Source organism: Homo sapiens, chromosome 18, assembly GCF_000001405.40.
Source record: "Homo sapiens chromosome 18, GRCh38.p14 Primary Assembly".
NCBI lineage: Eukaryota > Metazoa > Chordata > Mammalia > Primates > Hominidae > Homo > Homo sapiens.
The window spans coordinates 47122212-47140972 of NC_000018.10; the positions used below are offsets into that span (position 1 = coordinate 47122212).

The 18761-nt window shown below is 37.3% G+C and overlaps 1 protein-coding gene and 1 pseudogene across 7 annotated transcripts in view, besides 1 other annotated feature; one reads left to right on the forward strand and one right to left on the reverse strand.

Annotated features, from left to right (window-relative positions):
• HDHD2 (haloacid dehalogenase like hydrolase domain containing 2) overlaps positions 1 to 18761 on the reverse strand; it is a 43091-nt gene that overhangs the window by 14802 nt on the left and 9528 nt on the right. For 3 of the 7 annotated variants that reach the window (NM_032124.5, XM_005258371.5, XM_011526228.4), the window contains 3 exons: positions 14128 to 14238; positions 12285 to 12493; positions 8033 to 8117 (listed from right to left, as the gene is read on the reverse strand). In NM_032124.5, the coding sequence (NP_115500.1) occupies positions 8033 to 8117; positions 12285 to 12493; positions 14128 to 14228 (395 nt within the window). In that variant the 5' untranslated portion in view covers positions 14229 to 14238. Of the gene's footprint in view, positions 1 to 8032; positions 8118 to 12284; positions 12494 to 14090; positions 14239 to 15023; positions 15123 to 18761 lie in introns of all 7 variants that reach the window. The other 4 variants (XM_011526227.3, XM_024451272.2, XM_017026039.2 and 1 more) reach the window with 3 other exon arrangements.
• LOC107985131 (small ubiquitin-related modifier 2-like) lies at positions 14704 to 15073 on the forward strand (annotated as a pseudogene).
• Positions 17089 to 17588: an enhancer, noted in NCBI's record as "H3K4me1 hESC enhancer chr18:44665671-44666170 (GRCh37/hg19 assembly coordinates)". NCBI's record gives its function as "activates a minimal SCP1, AML or CMV promoter by ChIP-STARR-seq in naive H9 embryonic stem cells {active_cell/tissue: H9 hESC(naive)}" and the evidence as "EXISTENCE:reporter gene assay evidence [ECO:0000049][PMID:30033119]".

The following is an 18761-nucleotide window of genomic DNA, read 5'->3' on the forward strand; positions in this document are numbered from 1 at the left end:
CAACTATTTTTATTCATAAATGTAGGAAGTATAGTAACTATACTAAAAATAAATAATGGCGAGTCACTTCACATTTGTGAGCTTCAGTTTCAAATGAAGCAGTAAACTAGTTCAGGGCTTTTCAGCACTATTTTAGGCCAGAAAATGCCTGCTGTGGGGGCTGACCTATGTATATAGGATGTTTAACAGCATCCCTGGCCTCTACCCATCATGTGCCAGTACCACCACCCCTCTCCCTCAGTTATGACAACCAAAAATGTCTCCAAACCTTACCAAAATATTCCTTAGGGGGCAAAACTGTCCCTGATTGAGAACCGCTAAACTAAAGTAATGCCAAAGTGTTAACATTCAACACACTTAAAAGTAATACCAATCAACTCAACAGACATAAACTATCAAAAGTTCAAACTAAAACTAGTGAATCATGAAAAACACGAAAGGAAAATCCCACTAACATTTAATTAATTGAAACCCCAAAATACCTCCAATGTCACACTGGCACAGTAATTCTCTTATTAATTACTGAAAAAAATGTAGTGAGTTTGTAAAGACTCAATGTTCCACATAAAATAAAAATCTACGAATACTACACATCCAAAGTGAAAGATGAAATGAAAAATTAAAATAGAAGATCTAAGACAACTTCAACACTGCTATTTCTAGTTATAATCAGAATTTAAAAAAAAAAAGTTTTGAAGTCTTTGGGATTAAAAACAAACATAGCTTACTGACCTAGTAAGAAATACTCAAAGTGGTAAAATACTGAAAGTTCTACCCCTGAATTTAGAAGTAAGATAAGGCTATCTACTATCACCATGTTTATTAGGAGTGCACTAGGAGTCCCAGACAGTGTAACATAGCAAGAAAAATAAAAAGAAATTTAACTCTAGAAGGAGACAATTAAAATTGTCATTATTGTCTACAATTGTCTATATAGAAAATGCAATCCAAAAGATTCTATTAATACAAAAATTTATTAGAATTAGCAAGTAAATGGAAGAAGACTGCTGGACAGAAGATTAACATACAAAAACCCAATTAGCTTTCTATGTATTAGCAATAAGCAAATAAATATGAAATTTAGCAAAATACAAGGCCGGGCACAGTGGCTCACACCTGTAATCCCAGCACTTTGGGAGGCCGAGGTGGGTGGATTACCTGAGGTCAAGAGTTTGAGACCAGCCTGACCAACATGGCAAAACCCCATCTCTACTAAAAATACAAGAATTAGCCAGGCATGGTGGCGCATGCTTGTACTCCCAGCTACTGGGAGGCTGAGGCAGAAGAATCGCTTGAACCTGGGAGGCAGAGGTTACAGTGAGCTGAGAGCATGCCATTGCACTCCAGCCTGGGCAACAAGGGTGAAATTCTGTCTCAGAAAAACAAAAACAAAAATACAATTTACAATACCATCAAACAACATGAAAGACAAGAATTTAACAAAATGTCTAAGACCCACATTCTAAAAACTATAAAACACTGATGACAGCAAATGTAAAAAAACAAAAACGAAACAAAAAAAAACTAAATAGAGATACATTTTATTTTCATAGACTGGAAGATATATTATTGTACAGATGTACATACTGTCCAAATCCATAGATTTAAGGAAGGATCAAACTCCCAGCAGGCTTTGTTTGTGACTTCAAAGTTGATTTCAAAATCTGTGTGGAAATCCAAAGGAGGTAGAATAGCCAAGACAATCTTAAATAATAAAGTTGGAGGATGTACACTACCAGATATTTAGGCTTATTATGAAGCTACAATAATCAAGACAGTATGAATGGCAAAAGTATAGATAAAGAATCTAGTCACTTGATTTACGTCAAAAGCACAATTGCAAATCAATGGGGGAAGAATGGGTCTTTGCAATACGTGTTGCTGGAACAACTGAGTATACACAGATAAAAATGAACTTCTATTTCACACAATTCACAAAAATTAATTCAAAATAGATTCTACACCTAATTGCTAAAAGTAAAACAATAAAGCTTACAGAAGAAAACACAGGAAAATATCTTCATCACCTTGGGGTAAGCAAAGATTTCTTAAACAAAACAGAAGAAAATACTGACAAATTGAACTACATCAAAATTAAGAACCTGATCTTCTCATACTATTAAGAGAGTGAAAAGGCAAATCAAAGATAGGGATATCTGTGGTACATATATTCAACCAAAGTCTTGTAAGACATAACACATTAAGAACTCTAAGGCCGGGCGCAGTGGCTCACGCCTGTAATCCCAGCACTTTGGGAGGCCGAGGCGGGTGGCTCACCTGAGGTCGGGAGTTCGAGACCAGCCTGACCAACACGGAGAAACCCTGTTTCTACTAAAAATACAAAATTAGCCAGGCGTGGTGGTGCATGGCTGTAATCCCAGCTACTCGGGAGGCTGAGACAGGAGAATTGCTTGAACCCGGGAGGCAGAGGTTGCAGTGAGCCGAGATTACACCATTGCACTCCAACCTGGGCAACAAGAGTGAAACTCTGACTCAAAAAAAAAAAAAAAAAAAAAACAACTTTGACAAATCAGTAAGAAAAAGACATCCCAATCAGAAAACGTAAAAGATTTGAATGGGTGCATCACAACAAAAGATATCCAAATGGCTAATAAGTATATGAAAAAGTTTCAACAGCATTACTCATCAGAGAAATACAAATTGAAACTGAGGCTGGATGCAATGGCTCACACCTGTAATCCCAGCACTTTGAGAGACTAGGGCACAATGATCACTTGACATCAGGAGTTTGAGAACAGCCAGCAACACAGCAAAACCCCACTACAAAAACGAATTAAAAATTAGCCAGGTGTAGTGGCACACATCTGTAGTCCTAGCTACTTGGGAGGCTAAGGCAGGAGGACCTCTTGAGTCCAGGAGTTTGAGGCTACAGTGAGCTATGATAGTGCCACTGCACTCTAGCCTGGGTGACAGAGCAAGACCCTGTCTTTGAAAAAAATAACAACAAAAAAAAACCAAATAGGAACTCAGTAAAGATACCACTATATACACCAAACAGAATAGCTACTATTAAATAGAGAATATAGAGCATTGGAACTCTCATTTGTAGCTAGCAAGAATGTATGTCTTGGTACAATCACTTTGGAAAACTGTTTGGCGATATTTACTAAAACTAAACAATTACCTATCGTACTATCTAGCAATTTCACTTCTAGATATGTACCCAAGAGAACTGAATGCACATGTCCCCCAAAAGACATATACAAGAATGTTCACAGCAGTTTTATTCATAACAGCCCAAACTGGAAGCAACCCATGTCCATTAACAGCAGAATGAATAAATAAATTGTGGAATATTCATATAATACACTACTACTATACAAAACAACAACAAAAACAAAGAAGCAAAATAAAAACCAAAGTACTGGTACACGCAAAAACTTGGATAAATCTCAAAAGCAGACCAAAAAATGCTATAATTCTATGATTTCATTCATATGAAGATTAAGAAATGGCAATAATTATAGAAGTCAGAGCAGTGGTTATCCTGGGGAAGGAGTGGTAGTGACTGGGAAAGGGAGCCACCAAGGATGCTGAAAATGTTCTATATCTTGATCACCAAATGGGGGTTACATAGGTATATCTATGTGTAAAATTGTATTGAGTTGTATACTTAAAATCTGTATAACTTACAGTGCATGTTTACCTCAGTTTAGAAAAATCAGTAACAGAATATATTTTTATGGTTTGTTCACGTAAACAAATCATATTTAGAGTAGCAGGAGCTGCCTGCTAAATATATCCTCAAACTACAAAATAAGAGCAGTGATTCTGATACTCAATTCTGTATCCTATGATTTTCAGATCTGCATATAAACTTCTCCTACATACACTAATGAAATGCTTTAAACATCTCAAGTTCTGAAGTCTTAAACAATTTCTCACCTCCAAAGTAGTATTTTAGAGTCTGGACTTTAATTAAGAACACTGCATAGCAGTCAACCCTTTCAAAAATGGGAAAAGCCCATAGATATATTTCTAATTTGAGCCCTGCTGCTACACTGTTCTGGGATTCCTCATGCTCAGGGCTCTAAGTACTTAGGAAATATTCAGGAGTTAGCGTACAAATGCAGTACTGAGGCCATTACTGTCTGTTTGTCTTGTTCTTTCTTTCTTTTCTTCCCTTTACTAAGGATTTAATATACCAGAGTAATTAAACTTGTAATTTTTCCTTAAGAAGGAGATGGGGGAAAGCAAGCAATCCAACAGTCAACAAAGACTTCTTATAGTGGTAAGAAGCTCATCCTGAAAAATTAAAAAAAAAAATTCTGCACATCTCTAAGACTTTTGGAGGACTCTCAAACTCTACAGCAATTATGGGAAGAATGTTATTAACAAAACTTCAAATACATTATTCTTAAAAAGGCTTCATCTATAAATTTAAACATGAAAGTTGTGATGCCATTTCTCTTCAGGTATAACGATATTTTAATAAGCTACTCTAGGAGATGGAGAGCAGTTTCTTAATATAGGGAAAAAAGGCCTCAAACGTTTCCTAGGCTAAGTAATTCCATGTAGTTTTTTTCCCCAAAATTCCTTTGCCTGGCAACTATACTTCTGAAAAAAAAAATCATAAAGAAAGCATAAATACTGCTCAACAAACATGTTCTCAGGAGTTTTTTAAAATGAATTTCAAAAACCTGGAATACCAGCCAGGAGCAGTGGCTCACGCCTGTAATCCCAGCACTTTGGGAGGCTGAGGCGGGTGGATCACGACGTCAGATCGAGACCATCCTGACTAACATGGTGAAACCCCGTCTCTACTAAAAATACAAAAAATTAGCTGGGCGTGGTGGTGGGCACCTGTAGTCCCAGCTACCTGGGAGGCTGAGGCAGGAGAATGGCATGAACCCGGAAGGCGGAGCTTGCAGTGAGCCAAGATCGCACCACTGCACTCCAACCTGGGTGACAGAGCAAGACTCCGTCTCAAAAAAAAAACCTGCAATACCAACAGCAATAGGAACTTGTGGCAAAGCAATTCATTGTGCTTCTTAAAATAGAGTATATTGTAGGAATTAAATAGGTTTTAGAATAATATTTAGGAACATGACAAAGCATGCACAATACATTAGGTTTTTAAAAAGCATGTTACTATATAGTATATACACATTATAAATTTTGTGTAAACATGTATGTGTATAGAAACAAAGAAACTGGCTATGTGCTAAAATGTTAACTGTCGTTCTCTTTAGGTGGCAGCGTTACAGGTAATTTTTAGTTTATTCTTTCTTGAGCATTTAAACTTTTCCACGATGAGGATATATTAATTTTGTGATTAGATATTTTTAGTCTTGTTAATACTAAGTTCAGGTTGGATTATAAGTGACTTGTTTGTCTTCCTCCTAATAGTAATCATTGAGTTCAATTATAATTGGTCCATTACTTAAATGCTCAAACTTTGGGTTTTTTTGTTTTTCGAGATGAGCCGAGATCACACCACTGCACTCCAGCCTGGATGACAGAGCGAGACTTGGTCTCAAAAAAAAAAAAAAAAAAACCAACCACAATTCTCAATTCCGTTCAGGCATTTAAAAGATATTTGTAGAAAGGCTGTACTATGCGTTTTTGTGGGGTGCTATCCACTAAAAACACAGTAAATAAGATGCAGCATAATGTGAAGTTTGATGTATCTGCCTTGATGTAACATGCCTCTGAAGCCAGCATGCAATGGGCTTTAAAATCCAATGTTTATTGTCATTATCAGCCTAAACAGTAATTTAACTAATCGGTGGTTCATTTAAGATGTCTGTATTTGCCACATACAATCCATACAGCTGCAGTCATTGGTTGGAAGGCAGTCCCTGTGGAAACATCAATATGCAAAAAGGGAAGACCTAAAATCCTTCTGTTAACTCTCCATCCAGCTGTTAAGTGCATTTGTGAAATTAGAGTTGACCTATAAGTGCACTGTAATGTTTTAAGTTTATAAAAAATCAATATGGTTAGGAAAGTGTACTAATTAGACAGCATCCGAGCAATTACAAAGTCAGTATTATGTCAACATACATTTTTATTTCCCTGAGTCTAGTATTCATTAAGACAGAGACCTCCCAATTTCCTATTAAATATGTCCTTCCCAAATTGCCAGCTAAAATTAATCAATATCTTCTCCTTGAATTCTGTGGTTAAATAAATGAGTGAAAAGTAGTAGAAGTAAATTCAGAAAAAATAATAGCAGATTCCGTTTCAAATGAAAACTGATATTGGTATAGTTGTAGAACTTACTTAAGGAGCAGATGGCATAGTCTCTCCCTCCTCAACCAAAGGCCAAAGTAGGATAATTGAAAAGGCAGGGGAAGCAAAAGTAATTTTAACACCATATACACTGAAGTACATCTCCAAGTGATCTGACGTTAACAGTGGATGTCCAGGAAATAATTACAGTAAATAGATACTGGGCAACTATAAAAAGTGAGTTTGCTCCTTTTAAACAAGAGCTTGACTATCACAGTGACTAGAGTCACAAATAAAAGTGCATTAAGTAGTTGTGGTTTCCATTAACCAAGAATCTAAAATTAATGTGCACACACGGTAAACGGTGGCTGTTCTCAAACTGCTATTTCTGGCCACATAGATTTTACATGAGGGCAGTCATTTTCAAGATGAACAGCAAACAATGTGCCCAAATGTGTGAACCTGGGTAGTGAGTTTTAGTTTCCTATAAACATTCTATTTCTGTAGTATATACATGAAGAAATGAATTCTACATAATGTATAAGTTAGAATGGTTCTTACAGATCCTTGCACTGGTAAGAAAATTCTGGTTTGTTTTTTTTTTATAGCATTCTTGCAGTTAAATACAAAAACTTTACCAGGCTATTAAAGAAAAATTTTCTAAGCTAGTCCAATATGCAATATTTTGAACTATATACTTGACATACATCCAAAGGTAAATTATACTGTTTAATGGTTTGACAAGAAATAAAAGGCAAGACATGAAAAATTACAAAATCCAAAGAAAAGTCACAATCTCATTCTACGGCAGATCTGCAGGTAAATTCTGATCCAATTTATCTTGGGAAGTACAAGAACAAGTATGCAGCCTTCCTTTTAGAAGTAGCAGCAAAATAGTTCATTTAAGTGAAATGCACACATTAACTGAAGATTTATAATATCTTATATACTAGTTCTACTTCTACCCACAGCCACTGATGTCTCTCTGCTTGAATATCCCATAGACCAAACCTAAACTCATCACCTCTTAAATCCCAAACCAAGGGTTCTCTCTTACTTGCTCAGATTAGAAATCTCAATGTATCCTTGACTCACTCTTCTACTTCACTGACTAAACTCAAAAGTAAGACATGCTGATGGTCTCTGAATCTGTTTTTCTTCATCTCCACTGCCACTATTCCAGTTCACCGTATCATTACCACTCATCAAATAATTTATTTTAAAGTGTGGTCAAATGTGTCAACTCTTTTCCATAACCTGGATTCTCACTGGAGGTAGAATCGCATTTATTGTTTTTGGTGGATCAGCCTGGATACTGTTTTCCTTTGGAGATTAGCATAGTCAGTAGAGAATCATAGGAGTAATAATAAAAGATAAAACTGCTGCTCGGGCGTGCTGGCACACGCCTGTAATTCCAGCACTTTTGAGAGGCTGAGGTGGGCAGATTGCTTGAGCCCAAGAGTTGGAGACCTCCCTGAGTAACGTGGCGAAACCCCGTCTCTACTAAAAATACAAAAACTGAGATAGGAGGAGCACCTAAGTCTGAGCCTGGGGAGATCGAGGCTGTGGTGAGCCATGATGATGTCACTGCACTCCAGCCTGGGCGACAGAGTGAGATGCCATCTCAAAAACAAAATAAAAACAAAAAACATACTACTCACACAAAAAAGTCAAGATAGTAATACATATTATTTGATGCTGATCTTGAAGATGTCTATCCTAATGTACAATTTAGGTGGCCAGAAAGTAAAACACATAAACCCATTCATGACAATGACAAAAGGAAAGGAAGAAGGGAACTATTATGATCAGATGAAAAATAAATAGCTAGGTTTACCGGAATGCTTGATTCAGAATTTGATAATGAAAATGTTCTGGTGCCAATCCCATGACCACAGCATTAGGATCACTTGTTTGTATTCCTGGGAACGGAAAAAAAAAATGATTGTTGCAAATGCAATTAAAAGCAATGTCACATTTTAAAAAAGTAGTCTTAGTCAATCAAGTGCAAACTTTTGCTGTATCCATAATTTAAAATTTAATAGATTATCCTGCCCAGTGTACTTTGGAAGTATAAGAGAGTACACAGAAGGAGAGGGAGAGGGAGATGGGGGTTGGGAGGGAAAAAGAGAGAAAATCTAATATTTTTCCATATTCCTTGTGCACAGTCTTAAGGGTACTAAGTAACCAGAAGATCTGAATTGAAAATTGTAACCTGATGTCCTCAAACAAATGACAATTTCTAACTTCAAAATGCTTTACTGATTACAATCAACAATAACTGCCATGAGTTCCCTATGAACTATCAGATCGATAGCAACTGATGAGGGACTGAGAATCTAAGAGGCAAGGGAAATTAGACTTTCTAATTGACACAACTGAGGTTAACACATTCATGATTAATATGAAATGCACTGCAGAGTCTACAGTTTTCTGCATAATGCCTTATCTACTTTTAGTTTCAGAAATATTATTTTAAAATTAAAGTATGTTTTAAGGCCTTGGCATCTTATAACAGAACTTCAGACATGACAATCAAACGAGTACATTCTCCATTACAACTTTATTTATTTATTTATTTATTTTTGAGACGGAGTTTTGCTCTTGTTGCCCAGGCTGGAGTGTAATGGTGCGATCTCAGCTCACCACAACCTCCGCCTCCCAGGTTCAAGCAATTCTCCTGCCTCAGCCTCCAGAATAGCTGGGATTCCAGGCATGTGCCAACCACACCCGGCTAATTTTGTATTTTTGGTAGAGACGGGGTTTCTCCATGTTGGTCAGGCTGGTCTCGAATTCCTGACCTCAGGTGATCCACCCGCCTCAGCCTCCCAAAGTGCTAGGATTACAGATGTGAGCCACCACACCCAGCCTCTCCATACCATTATTAAAGGTCTGATTAAAGGTTCCATGGATTATCCATATGCCAATTCCTATTTGCCTCTCTTATTGGCTGCAGATATCCAGGCTTTCCAACTTCCTCCTTACCAGTAGCCATGAGTATTCTCCAGTAGTTTCTTTGCTAACACAATAAGCTATTCCAGACTCATACCATGCCTGTCCAGATCTGAAATCAGTAATTTCTCCAAAGAACTACAGTGGGAATTGACAGTAGATACCACAGTCTGAGCACTGGGTTGTCATTACTTTAGGCTTTTCCAGTGGAAGATTACATAATATGTATTATTTAAAAGAAAAAAGGAGTTCGTAACTGTATTTCCTATTCAAAAGTAGTCATACACAGCTTGTATTTAACTTACTTGATTTTTATTATTGCATCTCTTTTCACTGACACTAAAATCTAATAGTTACTACTTTGCTTTTTCCTATATATACCTTTAATTAAAAAAAATACCAGTATTACTAATAACAATAAGACTCCTGAACGCAGTTTAAGATCTCTTTGTAGTTCTTTTGTCCTTAGAATTTATCCCACTATGAATGAACAGGTCAAAATACTGTACTTTAAAGTCATTTGAAGTAATTCTTTTCTCTGAGTGGTTATGCCACCAACCTCATACAGACCTAAGTTCATTTCTATTTGGAGGCTGGTTTTTCACTTAATCGTCTTTTCATTGTATACAATATTCACATGGTTCCAAAGTCAAAATTATGTAATGGGGACTTTTTTAAAAGCCTCCTATCTTGATCCATCCCCTCTTCCCTTGCTTCCCCTTTAGGTAACCATTTTTATTAGTTTTTCATTTATCCTTCTTTGGCTTCTTTTTACAAATATAAGACAAATACATATGTATATCCATTTTCTTCTCATTTTCCTATACAGAAAATGTGTAAAGATTTCTACATCTTACTTTTTTCATTTAATATATCCTATGCAGAGCACTCTTTATCAAGAGATAGAACTTTTCATCATTATTTAATTTTCAGCTACAAAGCATTCCATTTTGTGAATATATCACAGTTTATTCAATCAGTTCCTTCTGATGAATATTTGGGTTGTTTCCAATCTTTCGTTATTACAAATAAGGTAGTAATGAATAACCTTGTTCATGTCATTGTGTATTTTTGTATCTATATTTTAGAGATAGATTCCTACAAGTGCTGCTTCATATGTAATTTTGCTAGCTACTGCCAAATTCCTCTCCATAGGCTTTGTGTCATTTTATATTCCTGTCAGCACTCAGATGCTTTTAGTAAATTTATTTTCTGTTTAATTCAGCAAAGTTGGTTTCTGTTTCTTGCAAATAATAATTCTGATTGATACATTGGCATATTTCCTATTAGTACTAGTTTTGAGGTCTGCCCAACTCTATAGCCATGCTGAACTTATAAACTCCATTTTCTATATTGTGCCATTGCACTCTAAGTATCCTCTCTGAAAAGAAGCAATGTGGCAAAGCTTCATAAAACTATCATATTCTTTCAGAATCGGTTGACTTTTCCAAAGAGAAACACTTTTTTCTTGATTGAAAAATATTTCATGTTCAATGTAAAAACTTCACACTATCCAGAATAACATCTACTTTAAACAAAGAGGTCCTGGTGTATCTCATTTAATCAAGTTAATTTAGTGGTGCCTGCATTGAGGATTAGCTTATAATACTCAAAGTAATTTTGACCTGTGTTCGTTTTTTTATTTCCATTATTATACTTTAAGTTCTAGGGTACATGTGCTCAACATGCAGGTTTGTTACATATGTATACATGTGCCATGTTGGTGTGCTGCACCCATTAACTCGTCATTTACATTAGGTATATCTCCTAACGCTATCCCTCCCCACTCCCCCCACCCCACAACAGGCCCCAGTGTGTGATGTTCCCCTTCCTGTGTCCATGTGTTCTCATTGTTCAATTCCCACCTATGAGTGAGAACATGCAGTGTTTGGTTTTCTGTCCTTGCAATAGTTTGCTGAGAATGGTGGTTTCCAGCTTCATCCATGTCCCTACAAAGGACATGAACTCATCCTTTTTTATGGATGCATAGTATTCCATGCTGTATATGTGCCACATTTTCTTAATCCAGTCTATCATTGATGGACATTTGGGTTGGTTCCAAGTCTTTGCTATTGTGAATAGTGCCACAGTAAACATATGTGTGCATGTGTCTTTATAGCAGCATGATTTATAGTCCTTTAATGGGATGGCTGGGTCAAATGGTATTTCTAGTTCTAGATCCTTGAGGAATCGCCACACTGTCTTCCACAATGGTGAACTAGTTTACAGTCCCAACAACAGTGTAAAAGTGTTTCTATTTCTCCACATTCTCTCCAGCATCTGTTGTTTCCTGTCTTTTTAATGATCGCCATTCTAACTGGTGTGAGATGATATCTCATTGTGGTTTTGATTTGCATTTCTCTGATGGCCAGTGATGATGAGCATTTTTTCATGTGTCTTTTGACTGCATAAATGTCTCCTTTTGAGAAGTGTCTGTTCATATCCTCCGCCCACTTTTTGATGGGGTTGTTTTTTTCTTGTAAATTTGTTTGAGTTCTTTGTAGATTCTGGATATTAGCCTTTTGTCAGATGAGCAGATTGCAAAAATTTTCTCCCATTCTGTAGGTTGCCTGTTCACTCTGATGGTAGTTTCTTTTGCTGTGCAGAAGCTCTTTAGTTTAATGAGATCCCATTTGTCAATTTTGGCTTTTGCTGCCATTGCTTTTGGTGTTTTACACATGAAGTCCTTGACCATGCCTATGTCCTGAATGGTATTGCCTAGGTTTTCTTCTAGGGTTTTTATGGTTTTATGATCTGTGTTTTTTCAAACCACGGGTCGTGATCTATTATTAGACTGTAAAACTAATTTGGAGGGCTCTAAACAGCATCATAATCAAACAATCAAACCAAAAAGAAAATAGAATGCATGTTATACAGCAAGAGTAAGTATTGCTTAACTTACATAAAGACACACATATAGATATGTATTAGGTTACTATGTAATGTGTTTCACTTACTGTGGATTACAGTCAAAAAAAGGTTTGGGAAATGCCAATTTAGATTCAAAATATCAGTATTATCAAATATTTCAAGAAAAACGGGGAAATCAGAATAAACATCTCTAAACATCCAGTTTTAAAAATGATTTGTAAGTACATATAAATATCCAATCTTTAAATTTTCCAAATTTCCCCTACCTTTGAAATCAGGTAGTGCCCGATCATCAACTAGCAGCATGGGTCTGACTTGTTTCCGCTCTAGTAAACTTCTGGCTGCAGTCAGAGATGTGAATATTTCATCTTCAGAGATATCAAATTCCAATTTTCTCAACCTTTCTAACAGGTCTTGCTTGCTCTCTTTGGTTGTATTGGTCACAAACCTAATGATTACAGAAGCACCACGTAACCTGGAGAGGGCCAAATTCAGAAGTCAAAAGGCAGCTTTTACATTCTGGCCCTATAAAATCTCCTAATTTGTTAAAACTGTGCCAAATGTTTTTATGGCCAGCAACATGACAATGTGTAGCCTCTTGCCCCTCCAGAATGGCAGGTTTACAGTTTACATAGCTACTTAGAGATGTCATTGTTCACCAGATGTAAAAAGATTTTTCTTTCAATCTACAGTAGAAAGCTCATCTGTAAAGCAGTAAAAGCTCTGTCCAACAAGAGCACACTGATTAACAGACATCCATTCCCCTATTAAGGAGTCAAGATAAAGTCCAACCGTGCAACAGATTTTTTTTTTACTTTAAACAACATGTTGTCCACTGCTTCTCCACCTATAAAATGAACATCATGACTCCTAACTAAATTGGTAACTCCCAACTGATGCCTGCCAGATATATAAGTATGTATTTCTTGATTCCCCAAATGAAAGGTAAGCTCCTTGAAAGAAAGTGAGGTTTGTGTCAATCTTTTGCCCTAATACCTGGCACTGTGATATGAGTCACTAGATTTTTTCTTTTTTTTTTTTTTTTTTTTGAGACGGAGTTTCACTCTTGTTGCCCAGGCTGGAGTGCAATGGCACGATCTCAGCGCACCGCAACCTCCGCCTCCCAGGTTCAAGTGATTCTCCTGCCTCAGCCTCCCTAGTAGCTGGGATTATAGGCATGTGCCACCATGCCCGGCTAATTTTGTATTTTTAGTAGAGACGGTGTTTCTCCATGTCGGTCAGGCTGGTCTCGAACTCCCGACCTCAGGTGATCCACCCGCCTCGGCCTCCCAAAGTGCTGGGATTACAGGCGTGAGCCACCGCGCCTGGCCTATGAGTCACTAGATTTTCTGATTAACACCATACTATGAACATTTTAAGGTTGGAAAACATGTACCACATACTAAGTATTGCTGATTTTGAAAACTTCTCTAAATTATTTTAGGATAAAGATCCTTAATATATGTTATTGGTTCTGTTGTGATTAGTTGATTTTTTTTTCAGGACACCCAGAAGCAAACATTCACATTCCGCTTACTTTAACATACTTTTACTAGGTGTCTCATTTGTATCCAGACTTCTGTTTAGTATTGTGGTTGGTACATGAGAAATATAAGACAGTCCTTAGCCTTTAAAAGTGTTTAGTTGATGGAAATAACACAAAAATTTCAAGTTCTTTAGCTAAACTTTATTTGAGCAGTTGCACAATCGATGTTAGATCCTAGGTAAAACAAGAAAGAGCAGCATTATGCCTGTCTGTGTGTGTTTTATTTTGTGATTCCAGGATTCATTTGTGATTTTTTCCAATGATATTTATTCCACATTGTAGACTCTTGAGTTGTCATTCCAACATTTATATTACTGACTTAGAAAATGACATACATATAGAACAAAAAGACTGGATCAAAAGGCCAAACCTAATAAAGGCTTAGAAAACAATGTTTGGAAGAAATTGTAATGCATACATCTTCTAGCTAAACCCAAGGCAGTTCCTATATATGGTTAAGATGGTAAAATGCCATCTTAAGGCCATCCATTTAGCTAATGATCTGCCGTGGTAAAATGGCACTTACAAACATATTTGTCAGCTGAACCTGGAGGATAGCTTGCCTTTTAAGAGCTTCCTGTGCGCCTGGCACAGCTGCATCTTCAATGTGAAGTGTGCCACTGAGATCTACCAAAACAGCTTTTAATGCACGGCATGCTGCCATCCTTCATTCCCTAGGAGAGAGCAAATGAAATTAAAAATACAGTTTAGGAAACAATGGACAATTAAAAACTGGTAAGTATTCAAAAATATCACTCATATCCAGAAAGATCCTGCTTAGTGTTAAGCTGCTTCCATTTTGGAGAAAACTGGTTTTAAAAATTACAAATCCAAAATTTGATCCATAAACCTTTTACAATACTTAGGTTTTTTTTTAAAAAAAAAAAACACTTGAATTAAAACTATAGGAAGCAAAACGCTTACAGAGGTATCACTATTTACTTTCAGGTTTTTAAAAAGAACTCTGGTGAACAATTCATTCATTTATTTTATTTTTAAACCTGAGAATAATGTACTCCAAAGAATGGGTGGATGAAAGGACTAAATCATTAGCAGAGTCTTCTTCATCTTTGGTTATGTATAATGCAAATATTCTCATCGCCCTTCTTTGCTGCTGTAACCTGAAACAGAATATGTGGCTCTCCCTCGTCCACCACTGCCACCTCCTCCTTTTTGCCACTCTTGGTGCAGACATGGTACCTCTTTTGTGAAGTGGCAGCTGAGGAGACTCTGGCAGTCACCATGGCCAACAAAAAGCCCAAGGAAGAAGTCAAAACTGAGAACAACGATCATATTAACTTGAAGGTGGCAGGGCAGAATGGTTCTGTGGTGCAGTTTAAGATTAAGAGGCATACACCACTTGGTAAACTAATGAAAGACTATTGTGAATGACAGGGATTGTCAATGAGGCAGATGAGATTCCAATTTGATGGGCAATCAATCACTGAAACAGACATACCTGCACATTTGGAAATGGAGGCTGAAGATACAATGGATGTGTTCCAGTAGCAGACGAGGTGTCTAGCGAAAAGGGAACCTGCTTCTTTACTCCAGAATTCTGTTCTTACAGACCAAGCTTACATTCTCAATCAGAAAATGGCGATTTGATTCCACCACATCCTGATGACTAGTTTTCTCTATTCTTTCCTTTCCTCTTTCCCCATTCCTTTACAGTACACAAAGTAACTGGTATATGTGCACAAGCATATTTCATTTTTTTAACTAAATAGCCAATGGTATGTTCTGATTGACATCAAGTGGAGATGGGATGGGGAAAAATACTGATTCTGTGAAAATACCCTTTCTCCATTAGTGGCATGTTCATTCAGCTATCTTTACATTTCAGTAAGTTATTTTGCTCTGTTTTAACAACAACAACAACAAAAACCCCATAAAAATCCCTGCATATCTTGTTCAATTGGAGAATTTTAATGTTTTTCATTTATCAATGTAAAACCAAAGACAATTTTATAACTTTTTCTGCGTAGCTGTTACGTATAGGGCAATCTGTCTTTAAGCAGGGATAAATTACTCAAAAAAAAAAATCCTATTTTTCCCTTCAAGTCAAGCATCTTGGTGTTTAAATAAACTTCCTGTTGGAAAAAAAAAAAAGAAGAACAGGGCTGGGTGCAGTGGCTTAGCACTTTTGGGAAGGCCGACGCGGGCGGATCACTTGAGGTCAGGAGTTCGAGACCAGCGTGGTAAAACCGCGTCTCTGCATCTCTACTAAAAATACAAAAATTAGCTGGGCATGGTGGCAGTTGCCTGTAATCCCAGCTACTAGGGAGGCTGAGAATGAGGCAGGAGAATCACTTGAACCCGGGAAGTGGAGGTTGCAGTGAGCCGAGATCGCACCACTGCACTCCAGCCTGGGCGATAGTGTGAGATTCTGTCGCAAAAAAAAAAAAAAAAAAAAAAAAAAAAAGATTCCTTTACAGTGGAAAAACCTGCCAGATACACCTTAAATCAAATGATCAAATTAACACCATTAGTAATGGGACAAACCAACATCATGTGCTTCCTGAGAGAGACAACATCACCTGTGCAGGATTCCTACTTAAATGTTCAACCCAAGTTGAAGCATAAGGAAAAAGTCAGGCAATTCGAACTAAAGAAAATTGTACAAAACAATTGGCTGGGTGAGGAACTGTATCAAATTAAAGGAGTCTGAAGAGACATGGCATCTAAATGCAATGCATGAGAGTAATATAAAGCCAATGGAGCAAGAATTAACAATTAGTGACTTCAGGTGAAGAATATATGGTTTTTACTGCACTATTACAAACTTTCAACATAAAAAGTTTGAGAAAAATAAGTTAATAGGAGATTTCTTATCAAAGTGGGCGAAAGAAGGATGTTTTCATACCTAATAACAGTGTGATATATAAATATACAAAATGATTTTTTCCACGATTCCTGGCTCATAACTCCCATAGCCTTTGTTGAAGTAAACAGAATCTCTCTGACTTTCTCCTGCCCACCTTTCATCTGCCCAAGGCAGAACTCTCATCTGATTGTGGGTCAAAAGACCCTCATTCCAGAGAGGTTCTGTCTCATATCCTGGAGGAAGGAATGCTGCACAGGGGTCAAGAACAATCTAAACAGGCCTTACTGGGTTTAGATCATACCCTTTACATTCAATCACATTTTGACACAGTTGCGCATACTTCAATCATACCTATCCAATGAAGTCTCCATTGATAGGGCTCCATGGGGGCTTTTGGGGAGCTGATCACATGGAGGCTGATAGGAGGGTGAACAAGAATGCACCCACATGCTGTGAGGGTGGCACACCCTAACTCCATGGGGACAGAAGCTCTCACTGGGGACTCTTCCAGACCTTGCCCTATGTATCTCTTCATTTGGCTGTTAATTTGTATCCTTCAAAAAAATCCTTTGTTGGCCGGGCACGGTGGCTCACGCCTGTAATCCCAGCACTTTGGGAGGCTGAGGTGGGTGGATCACGAGGTCAGGAGATCGAGACCATCCTGGCTAACATGGTGAAACCCCATCTCTACTAAAAAATACAAAAAAAAAAAAATTAGCTGGGCGTGGTGGCGGCGCGTGTAGTCCCAGCTACTCAGGAGGCTGAGGCAGGAGAATGGTGTGAACCTGGGAGGCGGAGCTTGCAGTGAGCCAAGATCGTGCCACTGCACTCCAGCCTGGGTGACAGAGCGAGACTCTGTCTCAAAAAAAAAAAAAAAAAAAAAAAAAAAATCCTTTGTAGTACATTGATAAATGTAAGTAAGTGTTTCCCTGAATTTGGTGAGCTGTGCTAGTAAACTAATCAAACCCAAAGTGGGACATGTGAAAACCTCAACCTGAAGCCAGTCAGTAAGAAGTTCCACAGGTCAGGACTCGTGACTGGTGTCTGAAAATGGAGGAGGCAGTCTTGGAGACTAAGCCCTCAACCTGTGGGATCTGACACTATCTCCAGGTAGACAGTGTTGGAACTGAATTGGAGGACAACCAACTGGTATCTGCTGCAGAACTGATTGCTTGCTTGCTGATGGGGAAAAACCTCCACATATTTTGGGGTCACAGAAGTCTTCTGTATTGACTGTTGTTGTGTTAGTGTGACAGCAGATGAAAAACAGTTTGAATGTTTTCTTCCAGAATGGTAATAGTTATACAAAATGAAATTCCATGTATCTACCTCATCCCCAACTTAAGAACAGAACTAATGGCAATATTGCTGAAGCCTCCTGTAAGAACCTGGTCAGTTAAATTTCCTGGAAGTAACTGGTACAATTAATTTGTGATAATAATTTTCTTTCTTTTCTTCATATTTTTTACCAATTGCTTAGTTTTACCATTTTAGAATGTTACAAAAATGAAATCACAATGTACACATTCTTTCACAATTTTCGTGATTTATTTTGCTCAACATTGTATTTCTGAGATTCAGCCACGTTGGTGCCTTTTATATTCTACCAAAAGCAAAACCAAGATCCACCTTTTGGGATTCTGACTAGAACTACATTTAATCTACAGAGCAATATCAGGACAACTAAGATCATTATTATATTGCCATCCTATCCATCAACATACTGTATCTCTCCATTCACATAATTTTTTTAGTTTTATAAATATCTACATAAATGGCTTGCATATATTTGTAGACACAACTCTATCATTGCTATATTAAATTATTTTAAATTACTTTTCTAACAGTTTGGTGTTGGTGTATTAAAATACATTTTTTGTTGTTATTGTTGTTTTTGTCTTATATCCTTTAACCATTCCAAACTCTTTTTTTTTGAGACAGGGCCTTGTTCTGTCACCCAGGCTGGAGTGCAGTTGCATGATCACAGCTCACTGCAGCCTCGACTGCCCATGCTCAAGCAATCCTCTCACATCGGCCTCCCAAGTAGCTGTTTCCACAGGTGTGCACCACCACGCCTGGCTAATTTATTTTTTCTGTAAAGATGGGGTCTTCCTATGTCTCTCAGGCTGGTCTCCAACTCCTAAGCTCAAGTGATCCTCCCACCTTGGCCTTCCAAAGTGCTGAGATTACAGGTGTGAGCCACTACACCTGGCCCCAAACTTTCTTAATTCTAAAATAAGAAAAATAGAAACAAAATTGTCACTTGTAGTTGGTAGTTATTATCTACATAGAAAATTATTGTCTACATAGAGAATTTTCTATGTAGACAATAATTACCAACCACAAGTGATAATTTTTTCTATTTTTCTT